Source organism: Homo sapiens, chromosome 17 (genome assembly GCF_000001405.40).
Source record: "Homo sapiens chromosome 17, GRCh38.p14 Primary Assembly".
Taxonomy (NCBI): domain Eukaryota; kingdom Metazoa; phylum Chordata; class Mammalia; order Primates; family Hominidae; genus Homo; species Homo sapiens.
In genome coordinates this window covers 72,518,792-72,543,229 of record NC_000017.11, presented here as the reverse complement: position 1 = coordinate 72,543,229, position 24,438 = coordinate 72,518,792, and the positions used below count along the sequence as shown (strand labels likewise).

Below are 24,438 nucleotides of genomic sequence, written 5' to 3'. Positions count from 1 at the left end.
GAGTCTTGGGGGATGATGGATTCCAGGGCCATGTTTCCTGCAGGGGAGGCTGGATTCAGAATGAATCCTGGATGTCTGGATGCTGAATCTGAATTGCCAGTGGTGTCGTTCAGAAACTGGCAAAAAAGGGAGGAAGGCAGGCTTGATGGTGGTGGGAAGGGCACTCTCAGACAAGATGCATTCCTCAGAGGGATCCTGGGTGATCTGATTCTGCAGACAATGAAATATTAATCTGGTGCGCAGGACAGATTGATGGATTGGAGCTCAAGTCTGACAGGGACCCTCAGCAGTGATCCGGGATCCCTGCTTTGGGGCAGGCATCCTATTAAACATACTAAGCACAGGATCTCATTTAATCTTCTAAATAACTTCTGATGTACAACCCCAATTACACGGAAGAGAAAAATGGGCTCTGAGAGGGTGACCCGTTTGCTGATGGTTACACGGCTGTTAACTGGGATTCTGGGACCAAACCTCGGGTCTGGCTGGCTGAGAGGCTACGCTCTTTCCTGTTCTGTGCTCACCTGCGGGTTTTAGGAGCAGTCCACAGAAGATCCACTGATGAGGAACACAGACAAAGTGGGGCTGGACGGTAGGAGGGAAGCCAGGGGATCGTGGTGTCCTGGATGCTGGGAGACAAGAGGCTTCCAGGAGTGCAAATGTCAGGGCTGCAAATTCCTCTTGGAGGGAAGCACTGAGAGCTCTCATTGTACCTGGCAGTTGGGCTGTCATTGAGTGACCTTGAGTCAGAGCAGTTTCAGGGGCAGGGTGGGCGTGGAAGTCAATTGCAGAAGCCAGAGAAATGGCTGTGAGGGGCAATGCGGAGGAGTGTTTCCAGAAAGCCAGCTCCTGGGCAGGGGGCTGTCTAAAGAGCAGGGGTGGATCTACTGTGGAGATGAGGCAGAGCCCCTCCCCTACACAGCCCTCCCTGACTGGCCTCAACTGTGTATTTACAACTTCATATCTTAAAGAGGCTGCCTCTCCCTCTAGAAAACATGTATGTTTCAGGTCTCACAAAACCTGGATCCACCTACGGCTGGGGGTTGGGGGATGGATGGAAAGATGGGATCAAGGAGTGTAAGTGAAGGAGCTGGCTCTCAGGCTCTGACTCCAGGCCAGGCAACCTTGAGTGAGTTTTTGGACCTCTGGGTGCTTCCATTTCCTTTTCTGTAAAAAACAAACAAACAAACAAACAAACATCATAAAAAACTCATGTCCTAAGGTCGTGGTAAAGGTTAAAGAAGATAAAGTACAGAAGGAATTCGCACAGTGCTTTGCACAGAGCAAACGCTCTATGCTTTTCCTGTAATTTCCTGTTATAGTGTTCATATTAATATGCATATTCCTGATTGGTGCTCTGAGAACTTTTCCGTTGCTGTGTTGGGTTCCTCCAGTGGTTTGTGGATGGAGATCATGGGGTGTGTTAGTCCATTTGCATTGCTATAAAGGACTATCTGAGCCTAGGTAGTTTGTAATGAAAAGAGGTTTATTTGGCTCAGGGTTCAGCAGGCTGTACAGGAAGCATGGCCCTGGCATCTGCTTGGCTTCCGGTGAGGCCCCAGGAAGCTTCCAATCATGGCAGAAGGTAAACGGGAACCAGCATGTTACATGGCAAGAGGGAAAGCAAGAGATGGGGGAAGGTACCAGGCCCTTTTAAACAATCACATCTCACATGAACTCTTTTCTTTCTTTCTTTTTTTTTTTTTTTTTTTGAGATGGAGTCTTGCTCTGTCACCCAGGCTAGAGTGCAGCGGCACAGTCTTGGCTCACTGCAACCTCTATCTCCCAAGTTCAACCAGTTCTCCTGCCTCAAGCCTCTCGAGTAGCTGGGACTACAGGTGCGTGCCACCGCGCCCAACTAATTTTTTTGTATTTTTAATAGAGATGGGGTTTCACCATGTTGGCCAGGCTGGTTTCGAACTTCTGACCTCCAGGGATCCACCTGACGTGGCCTCCCAAAGTACTGGGATTACAGGTGTGAGCCACCATGCCAAGCTCACATGAACTGTTCTAGTGAGAACTCACTCGTTACTGTGAAGATAGCACCAAACCATTCATGAGGAATCCACCCCCATGATCCGAACACCTCCCACTAGGCCCACCTCCAACACCGGAGATCACATTTCAGTATGAGATTTGGAGGGAACAAACAGCCAAACCATATCACGTGCTCTCTTCTTGAGTCACCCCATAATTTGTACCCAAAGACCAGGGGGCATATGGGATCACGTGCTGTTTCCAGGAGAGATGTGTTGTAGGTTTGTGGGCCTTGAAGGGCTGTGGGCAGTGATCCCGCCCAGATTCTCTAGACACATGTTCCAATGGTGTCCGCTCACAGACATGGACCCCAGATCTGCGCCATCCCCTGCAGGATGCCCCAGAGCAGCGAGATGCCCCCTTTGCTCTGGCGCCACTCTCTGAGAACCAAACCTTTTAAACTGTGAGCAAGTTGCTGGAGAAGAGAATGGGCCTGGGACTGCAAAAGTAACCTCTCTCCCGAAGGAGGAGACAGGATTCCCGAACATCCTCTGGGGCAGCCCTGGGTGGTGGAGTGCGCCTGGACAGCTGGTGTCCGTCTGCAGGCTCCTGCCTCAGGCCCTGGAGTGGCAGCTTGGCAGGTCCAGACCCTTCCCCAGGGACAGTTGCGGCTGGGAACCCTGGACCTCTTCCCTGGGCCTGAGCCGCTTCCCCGTGCGGCCGTTCGCCGAGTGGCCACTTGATGGCGCTGTGGCTCCACCGGGCGCGGGCGCGGGCGGAGCGGCGCGTCTGCTTCCAGCCGCCGGGCCGGTGCTGCCGCGGTCACCCCCGGCGCCTGGCTGTGCCCGGCGCGTCCGCCCTCCCGGCGCGCGGCTGGTGGGGCGCAGCCCTCGCGGCCGGTTCTGCCCGAAGCACAAAGCCACTGCTCAGAGCCAGCGCCTCCTGCTTGCAGCTCCCCAGTGAAAGAAGTTTGGGTCCTTGGTGGTGTTTTTCTCCCTGGCCTGGATGGTCCTGCAGAGGCCCCTTGCCACCTAATGACTTTATTCTTCTTAAAACATGTTTCTTTCTTTCTTTGCTTCTTGTTTTTGTTTTGATTTGTTTATTGGCCTGTACTCCGTTTCTGCCGTCTTACCAATAGCTCCTGACCAAGCCCGAGGCCTGCTAGAGAACTGTAGTTTAATTTAACCTCCACCGGCCAGGCTGGTCTGTTTCCTCTTTTCAAGCTTCCCTGCGGTTCTAACTTTGCTCCAGAAGATTCCTCCTGGAGCTTTTGCTTGGGAGAGAAAGGCGTTTGAACGCAGAGTTCAAGCGAGCTGGCCAAAATGGAATGCAAAAGAAGAAAATTTAAAAGAGAAAAGAAGGAGGCTTCTCAGAAATGAACTTTTCATCTGATTCCAAACATTCTGCAGTGCAGTTTTGTAAAAATACCAGAAAACACAAAGAAGCAAATAAAACACATCCATGATTTTGCGTCTAGAAATGGCTTTTGTATTTTAATATGTCTTTCCACGATTTATTGTCATTGCATAGATATACGTTCCCTTTCATCCCCCCGATTGGGTCAGTTTACTCATTTAGCTGGGTCGCCTGCTTTTTCATTGAACGCACTGGGAGCGTTTTTCCTTGGCAAGCTGGTTTCTGCAAGTTTCCCTCAAGTTTCCCTCAAACTCTTGAAGTTTTGCATGCAGGTCACTCCCAGGCAGGTTGCTGTGTGAGATAGCCTCACTGAAGCTGGGATTTGGACGTTTGGAAGAGGATGATTGAATTGTAGCTTCCAGGGAGGACAGAATTGTGAGCTCTTTTTGGAAGACCAGAGTTACCCATATTTGTTTAGCAAAGCGAGCAGGCCCACTTCAAGTCAGCGGTTCTCAAAGAGCCTGAGCAGGGTGCTGAATTCAGGCCTCTGAGCTTTGAGCGCCCCTCCCAGAACCCCTAGGCATCTGAATGTAGGTCGGAGGCTTCCCAGGCTGCCTGAAGTCTGGGGACTGAGAGGCGGGGCTCAGGGGTCACTGAATCAGCCCCTTCCTTGTCCCTCTGGAGGACCCCGGGATAAATGCAAAAGGCGTGTGTGTGTGTGTGTGTGTGTGTGGGTGTGGTGGGGGGATTCGGAGGTGGAGAAGGCAGATCAGGCCGCTTCTCTAGGTCTGTCCTCCCTTTGGGACAGGAGCAGTGTGGCTGCCAGAGCTGACCGCCTTCCTGCAGCTCTGAGCGTGCCGAGCCTAGCAAGCTTGTGCTTCCACCTAGAGCTGCAAAGGGCAGCGGGCAGAAACCGGGCTGGGGCTGGCATTAGCTTTCCCTCCTCCCAGTTTCTCTCCAGCGCAGCAGGGCACCTCTAGCCCAGAAAAAGAAAACTAACTTTCTCTTATTTCTGTTTTCTGCTGCTGCTAATCTCCTCCTGAAGGGTTGTGTGGCTTCTTGGGACTCTGGAAAGAAACTGCAGGGGACGAGGACAAAGGAAACAGCTACTGTAGTCACTGCAGCTATGCAGGCTCTGTGCTAGCCCTGGAAAGGCCTGGACGTTCAGGTCTGCTGTGCCGGGGGTAGGCCCCAGAACAGAGCGGTGGGCCCATCGCTCTGCAGCCACAGCTGCCAGGGCTCAAACCTTGGCTCTGCCCTTACCTGGCTTTGTGATCTTGGGGGATGCACAGGACACTCTGTGCCTCAGTTTTCTTATCTGTAAAATGGGGCAAATACCTACCAAGTCATAGGGTTGATGTAAAGTCTAGTTGAGATAATGGAGGGTAATTTCTTTTTTTTCTTAAGCTTAAATTTTGGATCCATTTTGTGTTGATTTTTGTATATTGGGTGGTAATTTCTTAGAAGCTAGAAAGTTATTAAATGCTGCTTATGAGCCAAATACTGTGCCAAGGGCTCTGTCCAGATCATTCCAGTTAATCCACCCAAGACCCCAACAGCACAGGTGTTGCTATATTTTTGTGGTGAGGAACTGAGACCCAGGGAAGTCACGGTACTTTGCCCAAAGTCACCCCGATGTCAAGCGTTAGAGCAAGAATTTGAACCCCAGAGCTTAACTCTTAACCATTTTGCTAACTGGCTGTCTCTCCAGGCCCCCATCACCCTTTCCATCACCCTCCCCTGCCCCAGGGGCATCCTATCAAATGGCAGTTCCCCCCTCGCTTGCCTCAGCATCTCCAATTTAGAGCTTCATGGATCTCCTCCTGTTGAAGTCATGGGATGGATTTCCCATCTCAGAAACTGCACAAGAAACAACCTTGGAGTTTTGAACAAAGGATATTCAAGGAGTATTCAAGAATGAATCTTCATAATCGTGGTCATGAGACATGAGAAAAAAGGTGTCTACCACGTCTTGTCTCTACTCATAAAGAACATTGGCCAGGTGCGGTGGCTCACGCCTGTAATCCCAGCACTTTGAGAGGGCAAGGTGGGCGGATCACCTGAGGTCAGAAGTTCAAGACCAGCCTGGCCAATGTGACAAAACCCCATCTCTATAAAAATACAAAAGTTAGCTGGGTGTGGTGGCAGGTGCCTGTAATCCCAGCTACTTGGGAGGCGAAGGCAGGAGAATTGCTTGAACCCGGGAGGCGGAGCTTGCAGTGAGCTGAGATCACACTACTGCACTCCAGCCTGGGGTACAAAGGGAGGCTCTGCTAAAAAAAAAAAAAAAAAAAAAAAAAGAAAAAAAGAACATTCCTTTGAAGGATGTATGTTTTGCGGGTGCTTGTGTGTGCATGTATGTGTGCACATGTGTGTAGAATCCTCACTGCTGGAGGTGGAGAGAACACAGGAGCTAGAAGATGTGACTCAGGGCATCCGATGGGGGTGATACAGAAGACAGTACCCCCCAGGAAGGCGGGGCTGGGGGTGGAGTGGAGAGAAAAGGAGGAGACAGCTGCCGAGGCAGGTGGGAAGATCTGGGGTGACTTCTTAGGCCCCCCACCTAAGTGCTTCTGTCTGGATGCCGCTTCAGTTCCCCAGATTCCTTTAAAGAAGAAAAGAGCCTTTCACTGGACACTCGGGGGGCGAGGCTTAGCAGGGCAATGGCTGAGGTGACACTTGGGTGAGAGTGAGTTTCAATGAAAGTCTCATCCATCAGCCGGGGAGCAGCAGGGCTCCTCCGGCCCTTTCCATGTTGAAGAGGGTGAAGATGGTGATGAAGGATTGCTGCCGGGTGGCGGCAACGGGAAGGCTGTCACGCAGCAAACCTGGGACCTGATTTTGCTATGGTGACAGCATTTACTTTCTACTGGGCCTGATGTCTGTAGGGATGGACTTTGTGATGGACAGCTGTCAGCTGTCAGCCATCTATTTCCTCTTTAAGTCTGGCTGACTTCATTGCAGGGCTGCTGTCCTTAGGATTTGCTCACTGAGACATCTTCTAGGCTGCACAAAGCGTGACAGCACAATTTTGGAAGACTTCACACACACACACACACACACACACACACAGAAGTTGTTAAGGAGTAGACCGCCAGTCGAGATGGGTGCCAGTCATAGCCTGTGAAAGCCAGAAGTGACCCCAGGCAGATGGAGATGACCCATGTTCCATCCAAGGTGAGGTTACCCGGAAATCTCACAGACCCCGTCCTCCCCCAATGTCCCCACAGAAGATCTGTCCTCAGTAAGTGGTGGTGTTACCCTAAGTCTTATTATGCTGGTGGCTGGCTTGTGTATTTATTGCCAGGACAGGAGATACCGGCCCTTCATTGAGCTCTAAAAATAACTCCGTAGGGATATTGATATGACGTATTTCATCAAGCGGGGAAGCTTGATGAAGACGGTCCTGGGAGGACCTTGGCATGTATTGATGTATCGGGGCAATTACTGTCTCAGGTGAGACTGAGCGACAGGCTGCGTGAGCCCCACCGTCACAGGCAGGAGTCTGTGCTGAGACCTCCCTGCATGCTTGGAAGTGTGTCATCATATGTACATCCTGCCTGCAGATAGGGCAAAGTATTCCTGATCATCCTGTTTGTGACAAGCCTGCGCTGAGAACAGCCCTTCATAGGGAACCATGGAAGACCCTGCCTTCGGAGTGTATTGTGAGAACATACAATGTAAACACTAGTTTCCATGTATTGACCGCCTACTATGCCCAGAGAGTATTCTGCACATGTGTTCAGCACCTTCCACAATTCTGGAAGGGAGGTATCATTTATATCTTATGAATGAAGAAACATGTTCAGAGAGGTTAAGCTACATGGCTGAAGTCACGCAGGTTATTGGTAGCAAAGCTGGCGACCTGACCAGGTCTGCCTGCCTCCCCAGCTAGTGAGTGCACTTCCCGCCTGGCTCCACGTGACACCAAGCTCTGGAGGCATAAAAAGCCACCACTCAGGGGAAGGGTAGGATAGCACGCAGGCATGTCTCAATGAAACCAAATGACTGACTTGCTGTCTGCCCTTTTGTGAGCCTGACCCAGCTGAAGATGCCCCATTGGAGTGGCAGAGACAGCCCACCTGCCCTGCTCCCTGAGGCTGCCTGGGGATGCCCTGGGGGGTTTGAAGAGCTCTCTAGACAGAGAGGCTGGAGGAGATCGTAGCTTTCTTCTGAGATTTGACCTCTATTGTCTGGCAGTTGTTGAAGAATCAGCTGGACAAGGTTGTGCTGTGGACAGACCCCTCTGAGGTTTCTGTGTCCCCAGTAGGATTTCCAAGCAGAAGGGCATCCAGGTGACCACCCCCTGACTACAGGATGACAGCCACGTGCAAGTTCCTGTTCATTCATCTCTGGATGGAGCAAACAAGGGGAGCTCACTGTCCTTGGTCTGAACACACTTTAGCCCTTCTTCTCCCACCCTGTCGGCTTGGCCTGGGGTTGTTATTATATCACGCAGACAGCAGCTTTTTCTCCTGATTGGGAAGCAGCTGAGGAATCTTTCCTTGGATTGATGGACAAAAGACCAAGATGAACCTGCTTGGGTTTAGGCCTAAGCCTTAGGTGAACATAGTTAGGCCTGCACCCCCACCTTTTCCTGAGATTTTTAGAAACTCACTTTCTGAAAATAGAGTGAGAAGCAACATAGTTGTTTGCTTGCGTGGGCAAAAAGGACAGTGGATACATTTGCTTAAGTAAATTATGGGCTGAACATTTGTCCCCTCCAGCTGCCCTGTGGTTGAGATGTGTGTCTTCTACTTGTAAACATCTGTACCTGAAATAAATTTTGATATATGTATATGATGTTTTTATTTAAGACCTCTTATCTGTAGATCTTCATGGGAGAAATTTATTCATTTGTTCATTTATTCAACAAATATTTGTGGAGCATGTACTATTAACCTGGCACTGTGCTCTGTGCTGGGGATAAAAAGATACAGGTAGACAAATGCCCTCACCGACAGTTCCCATACAGTGAGCAGACAGACTTGTCAACAAGTAATTATAATAGTACGTGATCCATGGCTGAAGAGAAGTTGACTGTTAGGGATACCCTGAGGGATGTGTGGCTCAGTCCGTCTGAGGCTGGTAGGGAGGCTTTGTGAGAGACATTCAATGGACATTGAAGGATGAGGGGTTCAAAGAGCATTGCAGGGTGGGAGAGTGGGGAAGGGTATCCCAGGGAGAGGGAACAGCATATGCAGAGGCACAGAGGCATGAAAGGATCTGTATAGGAATCTTGGAAGTTGGGTGTCTGCTGGAACAGTGGCTTTTTTATGTCAAGGACAAATTAAGAAGAATCTTGAATAGAGTGCTAAAAGATGTCAGCCTTATTTTAATGAGAGAAGGAATGAAAAAAGAAATTTCTCTCAAGGGTCTTAGATAGTGAGTATATTAGTCAGGATAGTTTAAACTATGCTGCAGTAACAAACATCCCCAAATGTCACTGGCTTAAAACAAAGGTTGCTTCCTCATTCGTGTTATATGCATAATATGGGTTGTGGAGGAGGGAGGCTGTGCTTCAGGAAATTAGGATGACAGTGGCTCCATTTTATACCACCTCCATCTGAACCTATGATTCAGGGTTATTGCAGCAGGGAGAGACGGGAGAACTGCTCACAGCCCATTGTCCACAATGTGCTGGGTGTACGGCCCTGTCATCTAAGAGGGCCAGGAAGCATAGGTGCTCATGTGGACTATTTGGTTTGCATGGCTGTCTCTGCCTGTTTGTGATATGATAAACTTTTGCAGGAGATGGATGTGGAAGGGGCCAAAGAGTTAGGTATCTGGGTCTAAACAGTTTATTTTCTCCTTTCTAGTAGGGAAGCTGCAGCTGTAGCTGGGGAGCCCTGTGTGGTGCTTGTCAGGAGTGGCCAGGGGAGCCGCTGGTCTTAGGCATATACTGTCCACCATTTGCTCATGGTGAGGACGTGCGCTGACCTGGGATATAACTGAATTTGTGTCTTGTTGGGGCATTCCACATGGAGTTTTATTGCCCTTCAAAATGGGGCATTTATTTATTTATTTATTTATTTGAGACAGAGTCTCGCTCTGTCACCAGGCTGGAGTGCAGTGGCGCAATCTTGGCTCACTGCAACCTCCGCCTCCTGGGTTCAAGTGATTCTCCTGCCTCAGCCTCTGGAGTAGCTGGGATTACAGGCGCTAGCCACCACAGCCAGCTAATTTTTGTATTTTTAGTGGAGACGGGGTTTCACCATGTTGGCCAGAACAATCTCGATCTCCTGACCTCGTGATCTGCCCACCTTGGCCTCCCAAAGTGCTGGCACTACAGGCGTGGGCCACTGTGCCTGGCCCAAAATGGGAGATTTTAAGAGACCTCTTTTCTGCTGGGCTACCGGCTGTGGATTTGGTGGGCATTGAGTAGCCCCAGGATGGTCCCACAGAAAGCTTTCCTGCAGAATCCAGTAGCATATTGTACAGTGGGTGTTTGTGGAGGACTTTGATTCTTTAAGTGGAATTGTTCAAGAATTGGCATTCAGACCGCCCTGTTTTCTTCCTGTGCAGATAATTTTTCAGCCACTTCTCTTCAGGCCAAAGGGAGGAGAAAGCTGCCTTGGTCTTGTCAGGTGAGACTCGTCCAATGCCTCCTTCAGGCCACTCCCGAGGAGGAAGGACTGTTTTGGGCCTCTTCTGTTTGGCTTTTCTGCTTGCTAAAGGCCGGGATATGAATGGGATTGGAGAAATCCTGGCATTGGAAGCTAAGCACTGTGTCCCAGGACATTGGATGAGAAGGCCGTAGAGTTATGGGGTGATGTTAGGGCTTGCCTTTGTCACAATCTATCTCAGAGGCAAAAGTATACCTTTTTTTTAAATTTTTTTGAGATGGAGTCTCGCTCTGTCCCAGGCTGGAGTGCAGTGGCATGATCTCAGCGCACTGCAACCTCCGCCTCCCAGGTTCAAGCTATTCTCCTACCTCAGCCTCCCGAGTAGCTGGGATTACAGGTGCACGCCACCATGCCTGGCTAATTTTTGTATTTTTAGTAGAGACGGGGTTTCACCATGTTGGCCAGGCTGGTCTCGAAGAGGCAAAACTATACTTTTGATTTGCTTTCAGGCTGGTTGGTAGGAAAACATCCCAAAAGGGTTAAAACTTGACTGTTACAGATGGATTTGTTTTGATACGTGATGAACTCTGTAGTGGTACACGAGTTTGGGAAAGGCTTGTGGGTACCATTTAATGCCTAGTAGCTGTCCCTGCCTGCGGGCCCATGGTTCCTCGAGTTCAGCAGTTCTGAAACTAAATTACTGCCCGTGTTATTCAAACCTATGTTTCTGTTACCAATTTCTATACAGCAGTCCAAACATAATTGTCTCGGCTGGGCGCGGTGGCTCACCCCTGTAATCCCAGCACTTTGGGAGGCCGAGGTGGGTGGATTACTTGAGGTCAGGAGTTAGAGACCAGCCGGTCAACACGGGGAAACCTCGCCTCTATTAAAAATACAAAAATTAGCTGGGCATGTTGGTACATACCTGTTGTCCCAGCTTCTCGGGAGGCTGAGGCAGGAGAATTGCTTGAACCCGGGAGGCAGAGTTTGCAGTGAGCCAAGATCGCACCACTGAACTCCAGCCTGGGTGACAAAGTGAGACTCCATCTCAAAAAATAAACCCCTCAAAGTTAAAAAAAAAAACCACAACAACACACAATCGTCTTAACTCTCCGCTTTCTCTCATCCTCTGCATTTAAATTCTGTTCAGTCCTGTCATCTGCAACTTCCTTAGCTTCGATCAGATGATTTATTTCTTAGGCTGTTGCAATCGGTCTCTCTTAATCTCTTCTGTCTTATTTATTTCACCTTCCATGCTGACACTGGGATTATTTCACTGTTAAGAACCTCAGTTTCCTCATCTGTAAGATGGGCCTCATTGTACATCCCTCAGAGGCTGTGGGGGAAGGAGATATGAGATAGTGCATGTAAAATGCATTGCTCAGTGTCAGGAAGTAGCGCTCAAAAAAATGTTAGCGCTTACTATCTTTCTGATTACCAATAACGTCACTTCCCTCTTCTCCCCGGCCAGAATGTTCCTTTTTTTCATTTCATATCTTTAATTCCGTATTTCTTCATGATAAAAGGAGAAACTCTATGATGACAATAGTTAAAGGAAAACTTGACATTAACATGGTTTTGGTGGCACTTTGGATATTATTGTGGACATATATAATTGTTACTTTGAACTGATATGATATGTTTTGAGAGTGATTGTCATTTAGTGTGGATTGAATTGATGGCTGGAATTTGAGTTTCGGAGACATGGAATTATTAGGATAACCAGTGTGTTTGGTGTTAGAAGGGCATTTGTTTTTTTTAAATTACTTTTCATGCCTGCTGTGTTTTTATGTATGCTGCGTTTAGGCTAATGACCCCTCAGAAGGAATTTGGCTACATATCTGGGAGTCTATAGCGGTTGCTTTATTGGGAATGGTATTGAGGGATGGAGGAGGCCAGGGTGGGTGATTTTTAAAGGGGAGGCTGAGGGTGAGATTTCTAACCAAGATGCCTACGTCATTGTCTTCCTTGAAATGCTCTTCAAATTTTAACATGAAACACCCTCTGAGGATGGTTTGTGTTTGTTTTTGTTTTTGAGACGGAGTCTTGCTCTGTTGCCCAGGCTGGAGTGCAGTGGCGCGATCTTGGCTCACTGCAACCTCCGCCTACCGAATTCAAGCCATTCTCCTGCCTCAGCCTCCCGAGTAGCTGGGACTACAGGCATGCACCACCACACCTGGCTCATTTTTGTATTTTCAGTAGAGATGTGGTTTCACTACGTTGGCCAGGCTGGTCTTGAACTCCTGACCTCGTGATCTGCCTGCTTCGGCCTCCCAAAGTGCTAGAATTACAGGCTTGAGCCACCACGCCCGGGCTGGGGACAGTTCTGACACAGAAGTGAGCTTATACTCCCGAGAGCTCTAGAGCTTTGGCCTGGACATTTCTTCCCAGCCTGGAAATTTCTTGGAAGTGTCCTTTATTCATGCTCAAAATTCCTGGGAATGCTGCAACCTCTTCCACCATGAAATGATAGCATTGCAGACTCTTGTTTTACTGCCCTCTTGTTCTAAACTCAAATATCCCTCAAGAAATTACAAAGGGTACTCCCTTTGCTGGCTTCCCCTCTGTTAAGCTGTGGGTACAGACATAAACCCTTGCCAGCCAGATGGCATTTTCTTTTTCTCCCGGTTGGCCTCTGTGTGCTCAACAGAAATGTTCCCACCCTTTGGATAAAGCATGGGCTGCAACCTGCAACATTATTGCAGGCTTTGTTCTTAGATTATGTGCCCCAGATAGCTCCAGCCAGGGATTTTTTCATAAAGTTGGTATGTGGGCGGAAGGAGAGGACTTGGCGTTTCTTTTGTAAGGACAGAGATAGGAAGAAGGGAGAGGCCAGGAGGTGATGTACTGGAAGATCATCAAAATGAAGAAAGAAACAAATATGTGGAGAGACAGTTACTTGAATATCAATGGTGTTTGTTTTCTGTGGATTTTCTTTGGGCTAGCGGGGAGGTGATATTTTGAAGTACAAAGGACCATCTAATCTGGTGCATCTCTTGGCATATTCTGATGCCTCTGGGTCTACAGCAATAAATCCATCATATCATTAGGAATATTTTGTCTGTCCCTCATCCCCTCTCCTGCGAGGTTATCTGAACAAGATGCACGAACTACCAAGTGGTTGAATTTTCACTTAGTGGGTTGCATGGATTGCAGGCGATTCCTAAATAACAGAGCAGAGACCAAGAGAGATACTGTCATACTTTTAGAGAAAGGCTGCTTCGGGAACAAATTTTTGAGGCTGGATGTTCTCTTGTTTTCCCTCCATTTTCCAAATTCTTAGGTTAATTAAGAGCAAAAGGAGTAAGCTATTAGAATTTTTACTATCCACACTAATTTGTGTGACTTTGAAAGTCGATTGAGTTGATGAGCGGTTTATTTTTAGAGTGGTTTTGGAATTGAAAATGTGAAGCTTAATAGTTTTTTTTCTTTTAGGGACTGTGAATGGACTTATCTTTAACTGGGCTGTATGTACATACAAATAAATCTTGATTTTCCGAGAGAGAGAGAGAGAGAGAGAGTGTGTGTGTGTGTGTGTGTGTGTAAGTGTGTACCTGGACCTGCACTTCCTGGCTGGTGTATCTATGTGTGCACAAATATATGCAGGACTATAAATAAAAACCGCAAATGAATGCCTTAGACTGAAACATGAGGGCTGCTCTTTCTATTTTGTGCAACAAATGAGGCGTGCAGATCTCCTTTGGAGACCAAGTCTTTAGGAGAAATAGCAGCTCCGGGAAGAGCCTGGCACCTTTGCTCTCTGGGTTTCTGCACCATGCCATCTTGTGGTTAGCAGGGGAGACAGTGCGTTAGGCCTGGGGATATCCTGGTCCCAGCTCCAGGGCTACCCCTGGGCCTCCCTTTCCCCAGTGGGTGTCTTTTCCTTGTGCTAACTTTAAGGATAAACCCTGATTTTGATGTTGCAAGGTAATGTGGTATAGGCCTCAAAGACAGACTATTGATCTTTTTATGTAGTTTCCTTATGGATGATACTTGTCGGTTTATAAGGCTAGCGGAAGGCCTGTGTGTGTGTAGGGGGGTGGGGGGTTGGAGTTGGGAGTGAGCTTGGTGAGCAGGTATGGGGATACCAGGGCAACCTGAGAGGTAGGCCACGTCATCACCATTTATAATAGGCTTCCAGGAGAGTGAAAAAGTCATCAGCGTCACCTAGACTGAAACAGAGCCAGGGGTAATAACCCAGGATGGTACACTGCAAGCCTACATCTATCCATTGTTATTTTCCATCCTTCAAACAAGAATAAATACTAAAAAAGAAGTTGAATGAATGCCGATTGAATGAATGAAATATTATAGAAGATACCTGGAAAAGTCAGAAGACACATACACCCACACCCATACACACATACACCGTACTCCTCAAGGAGTTGACCATCTAGACATTTAGCCATGTACCTTTAGGCAAGTTACTGAACCTCTCTGTGCCTCAGTTTCCTCATCTGTAAAATGGGCAGACTAAAAATAATGAGCACATACACTGCAGAGAATTAAATGAGTTAAGAATTAATTGATGTTTGGGACAGTGTCTGGTACTTCTGTGCACTCAGTGTGTATCAGCTATTATTGGGATGATGGTTGTCATGGGGGCAGAGTAGAAGCCTCTAGGTAGTGCTGGGAGAGACAGCATGCAGTGTGAGTCGAGAATGGCCCCGGGGGATGCTATGGGCATACAAGGAGGGCATCACCAGCTGATGGGTGGCTGGTGTGGGCTGTATCAGGTCTCCAAGGAGGAGGGATGATGCGGGTGAACCATGGGGCCAGGGACAACATGAGGTGACAAGAAGGAGACTGGCCTTGACAGAAAGGTCCAGGTTGTAGCCTCCAGGAGAGTGGCCACCCCGGGGACAGGCGGAGAATTGAGATGGCTGCTTCTCCATGAGTTGTCTGGGGTGGTAACAGCCAGGAAACCATTTGAAAACCTCGCTGGGGTTCAGGGTGGCATGCAGGGAAGAGGCGGCAGAGAAGACCAGATGAATGTCTCTGAGCTGAAGAGGCACAGAATGAATGAATGAATAGCATGATAGGTGGTGAGGGGCAGTCAGAGATGATGAGAAAATGGAGTGCGGCATGAGGAGAGCTTAGTAGGAACCCACGTCCTGGAGCACTAAGCTTGCAGCATCGTGCTCCCTTTATGCAACAAGGCTGGTGCCTTCCAGGGAGGTGGACATGGGGTGGGAGAAACGAGGAGATGGGAGCACCTCACAGGTTAGAATGGCGAGTCAAGCTGCCCAGTGAGACCTGGCAGCCTCTAACAGCAGTGCCAGCCCTAGCCCGCGTTTCCTCTCGGTGCCTACTCACAGCACCAACTCTGAACCTCATCCCAGACTCTGACCCTGTCAGTCACGAGCCAGAGCTGGGAATCTGTATCAGACACGAGCTTGCAATGCCCCAAGGGCTGGCGGCGACCCATCCCAAGGATGATGACTCCATAAATGAAAGTGTTAAATTCCTTACAGGAAGAAGGAACAAGACCAGTGGGGACTACAGGGAGAGGGGAGGAGGAGGAGAGTGGACAAGGCTGAGAAGACACTTCCTAATTGAGTGGCAGGAGGATGGTGGTGACATTGATAGGATGGAGAAGGGGTATCTGCTTACCTTGCTCACACTTTTTTTTCTTTTTTCTTTTCTTTTTTTGAGATGAGTTTCACTCTTGTTGCCCAGGCTGGAGTGCAGTGGCGTGATCTCGGCTCACTGCAACCTCCACCTCCCGGGTTCAAGTGATTCTCCTGCCTCAGCCTCCCGAATAGCTGGGATTACAGGCATGCACCATCAGGCCTGGCTAATTTTTTGTATTTTTAGTGGAGAGGGGGTTTCTCCATGTTGGTCAGGCTGGTCTCGAACTCCTGACCTCAGGTGATCTGCCCACCTCGGCCTCCCAAAGTGCTGGGATTAAAGGCATGAGCCACTACGCCTGGCCGCGCACACTTTTAATAGTTCTTTACAGTTGCTCAATGCTATGGTCTGAATGTTTATGTCTCCCCCAAAACTCATGCCTTAAAACCTAATCCCCAATGTGATGGTATTAGGAGATGTGGCCTCTGGGAGGCAATTGGGTCATGAGGGTGGTGTCCTCACCAATGCAACAGTGCCCTTATAAAAAAGGGCATATATGGAGCCAGGACAGTGAGAGGATCTGAAAACCATACTATGTAGAAATAGTTGTCAGATTTGATAAATCTTGTGTGTTGAATGAATGAATAGCCTGGATGAGAGGTGACTGAGAATAACAACTAATTTTGGTGTCTGAAAGGCTGCCATGGCAAGAGAATCTTTGTTCCATGTTATTCTGTAATGCAGGAATGAGACAACCTCATAGAAGCTCTTGAGTGACAGATTTCAGCACGATTCAGGGAGAGCTTGATTGGCAAGAATCTCAGTTACTTTTGTCATTAGTTTCAATCTGCTGCCTTGCAAAACCCCTCCAAACGGGAAATAAGCTCCTCGGACTGAGTTTCCATTATTCTCCTTTATCCAGAGGGCTCGTCGGTGGAGCCAGCTTCCATAACCGTGTGGCGGATTCGGAGAGGAGGTGGGAGTGCAGGTGAATGAACTCACTGTGATTGGGGCCCCTTTTTACAACCAACTTGGCTCCAGTTGGGCACAACATAAACCTGTGGCAATTTAAAAATTATGTATGTATGTATGTATGTGTGCGCTTTTTGCTGAAGAATAATGTTTATAAAGTACACAAATCTTAGGGACAGCTCAATGAATTTTTACGTATGTACACATCCACGGAACCACCATCCAAACCAGGATACCATTGAACATTGCCGTCAGTCTGGAAGCTGCCATCTTGTCACCTGTCAGTCAGCAGTTCCCTCCCGCCTTCTCCCCTAGGTAACCACAATATGGAGATTGTTAATATTGTAAAGGGAAGGTTTACTCTCCCACAGCTAAGGGTCAAAGACAAGCCCACGTGACAAGAAAAGAAGGGATATTTGCTTGTGGAGGTTTTTCTAGGTTTGGTTTGAGTTAAAAATGCTGGGCAGGCATGGTGGTTCACACCTGTAATCCCGGCACTTTGGGAGGCTGAGGCAGGTGGATCACTTGAGGCCAGGAGTTCGAGATCAACCTGGCCAACATGGCGAAACGCTGTCTCTACTAAAAATACAAAAATTAGCTGAGCGTGGTGGCACATGCCTGTAATCCAAGCTGCTTGGGAGGCTGAGGCAGGAGAATTGCTTGAACCCAGGAGGCAGAGGTTGCAGTGAGCTGAGATTGCGCTGCTGGACTCCAGCCTGGGCAACAGAGTGAGACTGTCTCAAAAAAAAAAAAAAGAAAAAGAAAAAGAAAAACAAAAACCAACTTGGTAGATCCTAAGATCTTTTTCTCACTGAAATATTTAAGCACTGCATTTTAAGAAAACTTCCTATTCATTCGTAGACTTTTATCTGGCCAGATTTCCACTCTGAGGGCTTTTCTTTCTAGTTATCTGACAAACCATAAATTTTATTTCCTTTAAGGGCAAAACCAACCTCCAAGCACATTTATGGCCCATGTTTTAAGAGCTGGCCGCCCTTTCTATCCTGTATCTCTGGTTAAACGTGTTTTCTTTTTCTTGGAGCAAATTTTTCAAAGAGGGGCTAAAGCTATGTGTTCCTCTGGAGAGAACTCCTGCCTACCCAGCAGGAAAGAAAATGCCAGAGAAGCCTCCGACCTGGGTTCTGCCCCTGGTAGCCAGGTCTCAGGCTAGAAGCCTTCTTTTTGGTTGCATTGGAGTCCTTCTCTACCTCACCTTTATTGTTTCTTCCTTCTTGGTTTTTATGTATTCTCCTCTGCCTCCTTTAAAGAGTGGCAACTTTTTGGACTTTGGACAATTCCTGTGTAGCAATCTGGGCTGATTTTAGAGAGTCCTTCTGTTTCCTGCTTTCCAGTGAGCTGATTGGTTGATCAGCTGATTTTATTTACCTTCCCCTGGAGGAAGTAGAGTCCCAGGATGCTGGGGAGGCCCGCTGGGGACCCCTGAATGCCCTTTATGTTGACCCCTTGTCTTTTTGTTTGGGTTCCTAGGGCTATGGACTGAGAGGCAGCATAACTTTGAAATGGTATCTATTGAAGGAGTCTCTTTCTGCTTCTCACCATATTGGGAAGAAGGTGGATTAAAACATTTATTTACTCTTAATTGTGGTAAAATATACATAACATAAAATTTACCATTTTAACCTTTTTTTTTTTTTTTTTTTTTTGTCTGAGAGGGAGTCTCGCTCTATCGCCCAGGCTGGAGTGCAGTGGCGTGATTTTGGCTGCAACCTCTGCCTCCCGGGTTCAAGTAATTCTCCTGCCTCAGCCTCCCAAGTACTTGGGACTACAGGCGTGCACCACCACGCCTGGGTAATTTTTGTATTTTTAGTAGAGACAGGGTTTCACCATGTTGGCCAGGATGGTCTCCATCTCCTGACCTCGTGATCCACCTGCCTCAGCCTCCCGAAGTGCTGGGATTATAGGCATGAGCCACCGCGCCTGGCTTTTTTTTTTTTTTTTTTTAAATAGAGGGGGTCTCACCATGTTGCCCAGGCTAGTCTTGAATTCCTGGGCTCAGACAATTCTCCTGCCTAGGCCTCCTCAAGTGCTGGGATGACAGGTGTGAACCACCATGCCTGGCCCCCATGTTAACCAGGTTTAAGTGTACAGTTCAGTGGCACAAAGCACATTTATACTGTTGCACAACCATCATCACCATCCATCCACAAAACTTTTTTATCTTGCAAAACTGAAACTCTATCCCCATGAAACAATCATTTCCCATTCTCTTTTCTCCCCAGCCCCTGGAAACCATCATTCTGCTTTTCATCTCTGCAACTCTGACTGTTCTATGTGCCTCATATGAAAGATATTATATAGTATTTGTCCTTTGTGACTGGCTTATTTCACTTAGTTTAACATCCTCAAGGTTCATCCACATTGTAGCATATATCAGAATATCCATCCTTTTTTTTTTTTTTTTTTTTTTTTTTTTGAGATGGAGTCTCGCTCTGTCGCCCAGGCTGGAGTGCAGCGGTGCAATCTCGGCTCACTGCAAGCTCTGCCTCCCGGGTTCATGCCATTCTCCTGCCTCAGCCTCCCGAGGAGCTGGGACTACAGGCACCTGCCACCACGCCCGGCTAATTTTTTTTTTTTTTTTTAGTAGAGACAGGGTTTCACCGTCTTAGCCAGGATGGTGTTGATCTCCTGACCTCGTGATCCACCTGCCTCAGCCTCCCAAAGTGCTGGGATTACAGGTGTGAACCATCGCGCCTGGCCAGGAATTTCCATCTTTTTAAGGCTGAATAATATTCCACTGTATGGATGGACCACATGCAGAGCATAGAGTTTTTAATGCGTGTATATCATAGACCCTAAGTCTTCTGTATTTCCCATGTATTGGGCACCTCCTATATTCCTGACCAGGGACTTGTTGTCTTGTCTGGGGACTTCCAGGTGTAGTTTGTATTTTAGATGGGGAATTGTGAGGGTGGATTCTTTAGGCAGGTAATCTTGTGAAGTTCCTTATTTCTAGTGTTCACTGCACAGAAAGCTTTGAGGTGTGGTCTAATACTTCAGTGCTTTTGGCAGCCACCATTCCTATATTTCCAGAAATGTGATTATGATTGTTTAGCCAGGGTTTAAGGCCACGAATGGTGACGTGGTTTAGACATCAGCTTTTGGCAAGGCTGAGGGGACATGGGGTGATTTCATTGTGTCCGAAGTTAGCATCTGAAGGCTTTCAGTGCGATGTGTAAGATATATTTTTCGGGAGATTTAAGGCTTTAAAACACCATCTTAAGAGAATAGAAAATATCAAATAAGAGAAACAGATTGAGTGCTCATCTCAGCTTTTCTATTCATTCATTGCAGACCTTGGAATAGCTTCTCATTGTCTCATTTCCTTGGTTTTCTTCTTGGTAACGTGAAGAACCTGCCCCCACCTCCACAACCACATCACAGAGGTCTCTGTCAGGAAAGATGGTTCAAAGCCTGGAAATGCTTTAACATTATTATTATTATTACTATTTGAGATGGAGTTTTGCTCTTGTCACCCAGGCTGGAGTGCAATGGCACGATCTCGGCTCACTGCAACCTCCACCTCCTGGGTTCAAGCGATTCTCCTGCCTCAGCCTCCCGAGTAGCTGGGATTGCAGGTGCCCACCACCACGCTGGGCTAATTTTTTGTGTTTTTAGTAGAGACAGGGTTTTCCCATGTTTGGGCAGGCTGGTCTTGAACTCCTGACCTCAGGTGATCCGCCTGTCTCGGCCTCCAAAAGTGCTGGGATTACAAGCCTGAGTCACTGTGCCCAGCTTATTGTTTTTATTTTTTTGAGGCAAGGTCGGACTCTGTTTCCCAGGCTGGAGTGCGGTGGCGCGATCTCAGCTCACTGCAACCTCCGCCTCCTGGGCTCAAGCCATCCTCCTACCTCAGCCTCCTGAGTAGCTGGGACTACTGGCCTGGCTAATTTTTGTATTTTTCTGGAGAGATAGGGTTTTGCCATGTTTCCCAGGCTGAACTAAAGTGATCTGCCCACCTCAGCCTCCCAAAGTGCTGGGGTTACAAGCATGAGCCACTGCGCTCGGCCAAACCTGAAAACTTTTAAAATGAGGTTTCCATCCGTGAGAATGGGACCCCCAACCCATCCCCATCTCTTGTCCCACATAACAAAGTATGTGCTTATTTTATAGGCATTTACCCATCGAATAGCTTCTTTGAAAAGGCTTGCCTCCCAAATTCATCCCTCTATTCATCAGTTGCTTATTGACTCCTTTCCCTGTGCTGGGCCTTGAATTAAGGTCCTAATTCAGACATGAAATGCATGCTGATCAAACTTATTTGGGGGAAAAAGGAGGATTCTGTAAAATCATACCCACAAAAAAAAAAAAGGAAAAGAAAAAAAAAACCATTGAGTTTGATTCTTAACAACTTCATTGCTCCTGGATGAAGAGGGTCAATAAGCTATTGATACTCAGGACATGGTGGCGGTGATTGTGGGAGGGAGAATGGCTTTTGGTAGATCTGGTCTGGAGGTTCCTGCTTTCTGAGGAAGAGACTGCCTGAACCTAGACATTCCAAGTTCATTTTGTAGATGGCACTTTCCCTGCAGGACCAAAACTGCGACAGCCACAGGTATTTCCTAAACCACCAGTCCTGTATTAGGTGAGACTCACATGGTGGATAACCAACAGGTGGTCATAAAAGATGTACTTTTCAAGGCTGAGTGTGGTGGCTCATGCCTATAATCCCAGCACTTTGGGAGGCCAAGGTGGGAGGATCGCTTGAAGCCAAGAGTTCAAGACTAGCCTGGGCAACATAGTGACACGCCATCTCTTTTTTTTTTTTTCTTTTTCTTTTTTTTTGAGACAGAGCCTTGCTCTTGCTGCCCAGGCTGGAGTGCAGTGGCACAGTCTTGGCTCACTGCAACTTCCACCTCCTGGGTTCAAGTGATTCTGCTGCCTCAGCCTCCCAAGTAGCTGGGATTACAGGCGTGCACCACCATGCCCGGCTAATTTTGTATTTTTAGTAGAGATGGCATTTCACCATGTTGGCCAGGCTGGTCTCAAACTCCTGACCTCAGGTGATCCACCTGCCTTGGCCTCCCAAAGTTCTGGGATTACAGGTGCGAGCTACCGTGCCTGCCTAGACCCCATCTCTTAAAAAGAAAAAAAAAGATGCACTTTTCTGAGTAGGAACAATGATTGAATCCTGAAAGTAAAGAAGAAGGGCAGAGATTTATGTAGAGGAACCCTTTCGTGAGGTGATTTCTGGACTGGGTCAGTAGGATACAAACCTTATTGATGTGCTACTCATAGAATAAGAAGACCTGATGGGCCTCATAGTGTAGCTCAGAGAGTCCTGAATGAAGCTGTGGGGAGACCTGCCTCTTGTCGTCTTTCACCATGGCTGTCTGTACATCCAAGGCAATTCTCCAACCCCCTTGGGCCTCTGCTACCCCACTGGTGAAATGAAGGAGGTTGACCAGATGCCCCTGTGATTCCTTGCAGGGGCCTCAGTCCCACTTCTTGCTTTTGGCAGTGTTTGCCAGCTCAGCTCTTGGGTGTACCACCCCAGGCCTGTTGCTAGGTCCCTGGTACAAGCCTTTGGGACCAGTTTCAAGAGAGTGTTTAATACACAACCCTGCAGACTCTCACAGACCTTTCTGGGTAACACTTACTTCATTGCACTTTTAAAAATGAAAACGAAAGAAAATGCAGCTTAGCCGACTCACAGTAATCAGGGCTGACAGATGTCACTCAGAATTTTATTATTTAAAGCCACAATGATTTTCCAAATAACCTAAAAATATATAATCCAACCTCAAAATAGTGTCCTGTAACAGAGGCCAGGGAACCCTATAGGAAATGAAGTCAATATCTTGGCACCTCTTGCTTGCTGGTTCCGGGGCTTTGAACACTTTTATGTCCTCTGAGAAATACAGGAACATGGAACCATATCAAGTTGCTTAGTGAGGCCTCCAAGGTCTCAGAGAGCTGGGGGTGTCTCGGGTGCTTCTCCTGGGACCTAAGCCAGCGTGACACTTCTTCTGGTCCCAACAGCGTTTCCTCCTCATTCTATGAGAGCATGGGTGGAGATATAATAGCCTTCACGTATTTTAAAAATCAAGCATCTTCCTGTCAATAGGTTGTTCTGCTATATTCAGAAGATCACATTCTGAATCTGGCCACGTGGGTGTTAAAGATAGTTGCATAAGGAAGCTAAAGTTTATTGAGTAGATACTAACATCCAGACACTGTGCTAAACCCTCATTTATTCCTTATAATTATTTATTAAATACAGATGCTTCTCTACTAACAATGGGATCACGTCTTGATACCCATCATAAGATGAAAATATTGTAAGTCAAAAATGCAGTTAAGACACTGCTCTTACCAAACACTATAGCTTAGCCTAATGTACCTTAAACATTAGTAGAACACTTACTTTAGCCTACAGTTGGGCAAATCATGTAACACAAAGCCTGTTTTATAATAAAATCTTTTATTTTTTTTTTTGAGGCGGGGTTTCTCTCTTGTCATCCAGGTTGGAGTGCAATGGCACGATCTCAGCTCACTGCAACCTCCGTCTTCTGGGTTCAAGTGAGTCTCCTGCCTCAGCTTCCTGAGTAGCTGGGACTACAGGCATGCGCCACTATGCCCAGCTAATTTTTTTTATTTTTTTATTTTTTTATTTTTAGCAGAGACAGGGTTTCACCATTTTGGTCAGGCTTGTCTCGAACTCCTGACCTCAGGCGATCTGCCTGCCTCGGCCTCCCAAAGTGCTGGGATTACAGGTATGAACCACCTCCCGGCCTATAATAAAATCTTGAATATGTTATATGATTTATTGAATTTTTTTTAGTATCTTCAAAGTGAAAAACAGAATTGTTGTATGGGTACTTGAAGTGTGGTTTCGGCTGAATTTGTTTTGCTCTCACGCCATCATAAAGTAGGAAAATTGTATGTTGGGGACTATCTGCATTATTTATACTTATATCAATGACATTAACAGATAATTAATAGTGATGTATGAATTAAAGAAGCTTGTGAAATTTACTGCCCCATTTTACAGATGAGGAAGTTGAGGCCCCGAGAGACTAAGGAACTTGCCCAGTGTATGAGAGCTAAGAGATGGCAGAACACGTTGGGTTTGCATCTGGGTGGGTGGATAGGGGTTTGGGAGCTGGCATGAATTTCATTGCTGGCTAAAGATCCTGAGCCAGCAGTCCCCGGGCCAGCGGGTGGGACCAGCAAGGCTGTCTTCCTAGGACTGAGGATTGGAGAACTGGTCTGCCTCAACGTGGGAGGGAAGAGGGGACACTTTGCGCTTGGTGCCCATGCCCCACCCTTTCCGAGGAGCTGTCAGATGCTAGGCCCTGTGATCCCAGGTGGAGGCCCAGCAAGGTACCCGCTGCAAGTTATCTTTCCAGATCGGTCTCCAGGAAGCATCTCCGTGTGGCTTCCGAGCTGGGGGAGCTGCAGGCCGGGCTGCCAGCATCTGACTGGCTGTTATTTGGTTTTCTCTGACTAGATCTTTGTTTCTGTGAAACCCTTAGCTGCTGAGGCTCTCGTGCTGCAGCTTAATCGGCGCTGCATGGAGTGCTAGCCTGGTTAAGTAAACACCGTTGGAATATTACCTGTCTGTTAACCTGTCAAAATTGCTTTACAGCCCCCTTTTATCTTCCCCCCGACGGAATTTCCCCTGGAGTTTTCTGCCTCCTCTCTGGTTCCTTTCCTCGCCTGCCCTCCTTCTCCTGCAAAGCTTCCCCACCCCCGGAGTCATTAAATATTGTCAGAGTTCCGCCTCTTATGGCTGCCTTGTTTGCTCAGTTCAGATAAATTGTTGTTGACTCTGTGATGCAGACCAAGGGCACTGGGCTCCCAGCCCCAAGGAAGGAAGCATGAGGTCTGCCAGGTGGGAAGAGGCGAGGGGTCTGGGGGAGGATGCATGGGCGGGGGCCCTGCCTCCCTGGCTGCACCTCGCTCCCCCTGGTCGCCTCAGAAGGAGCCAGTGCTCTGTCCGGCCTCACCGTCTCGCAGGCCTTCTTCCTTCCCT

General features: G+C 47.8%; 1 long non-coding RNA gene across 5 annotated transcripts in view, besides 1 other annotated feature; it reads left to right on the top strand.

Moving 5' to 3' along the window:
- The window catches only part of LINC00673 (long intergenic non-protein coding RNA 673), a 189,483-nt gene that overhangs the window by 49,575 nt on the left and 115,470 nt on the right, over nt 1-24,438 (top strand). The gene's annotated exons all lie outside the window — the stretch shown is intronic.
- Nucleotides 2,628-2,877: a silencer, noted in NCBI's record as "silent region_8915". NCBI's record gives its function as "represses an Ori minimal core promoter by ATAC-STARR-seq in GM12878 lymphoblastoid cells {active_cell/tissue: GM12878}" and the evidence as "EXISTENCE:reporter gene assay evidence [ECO:0000049][PMID:35858748]".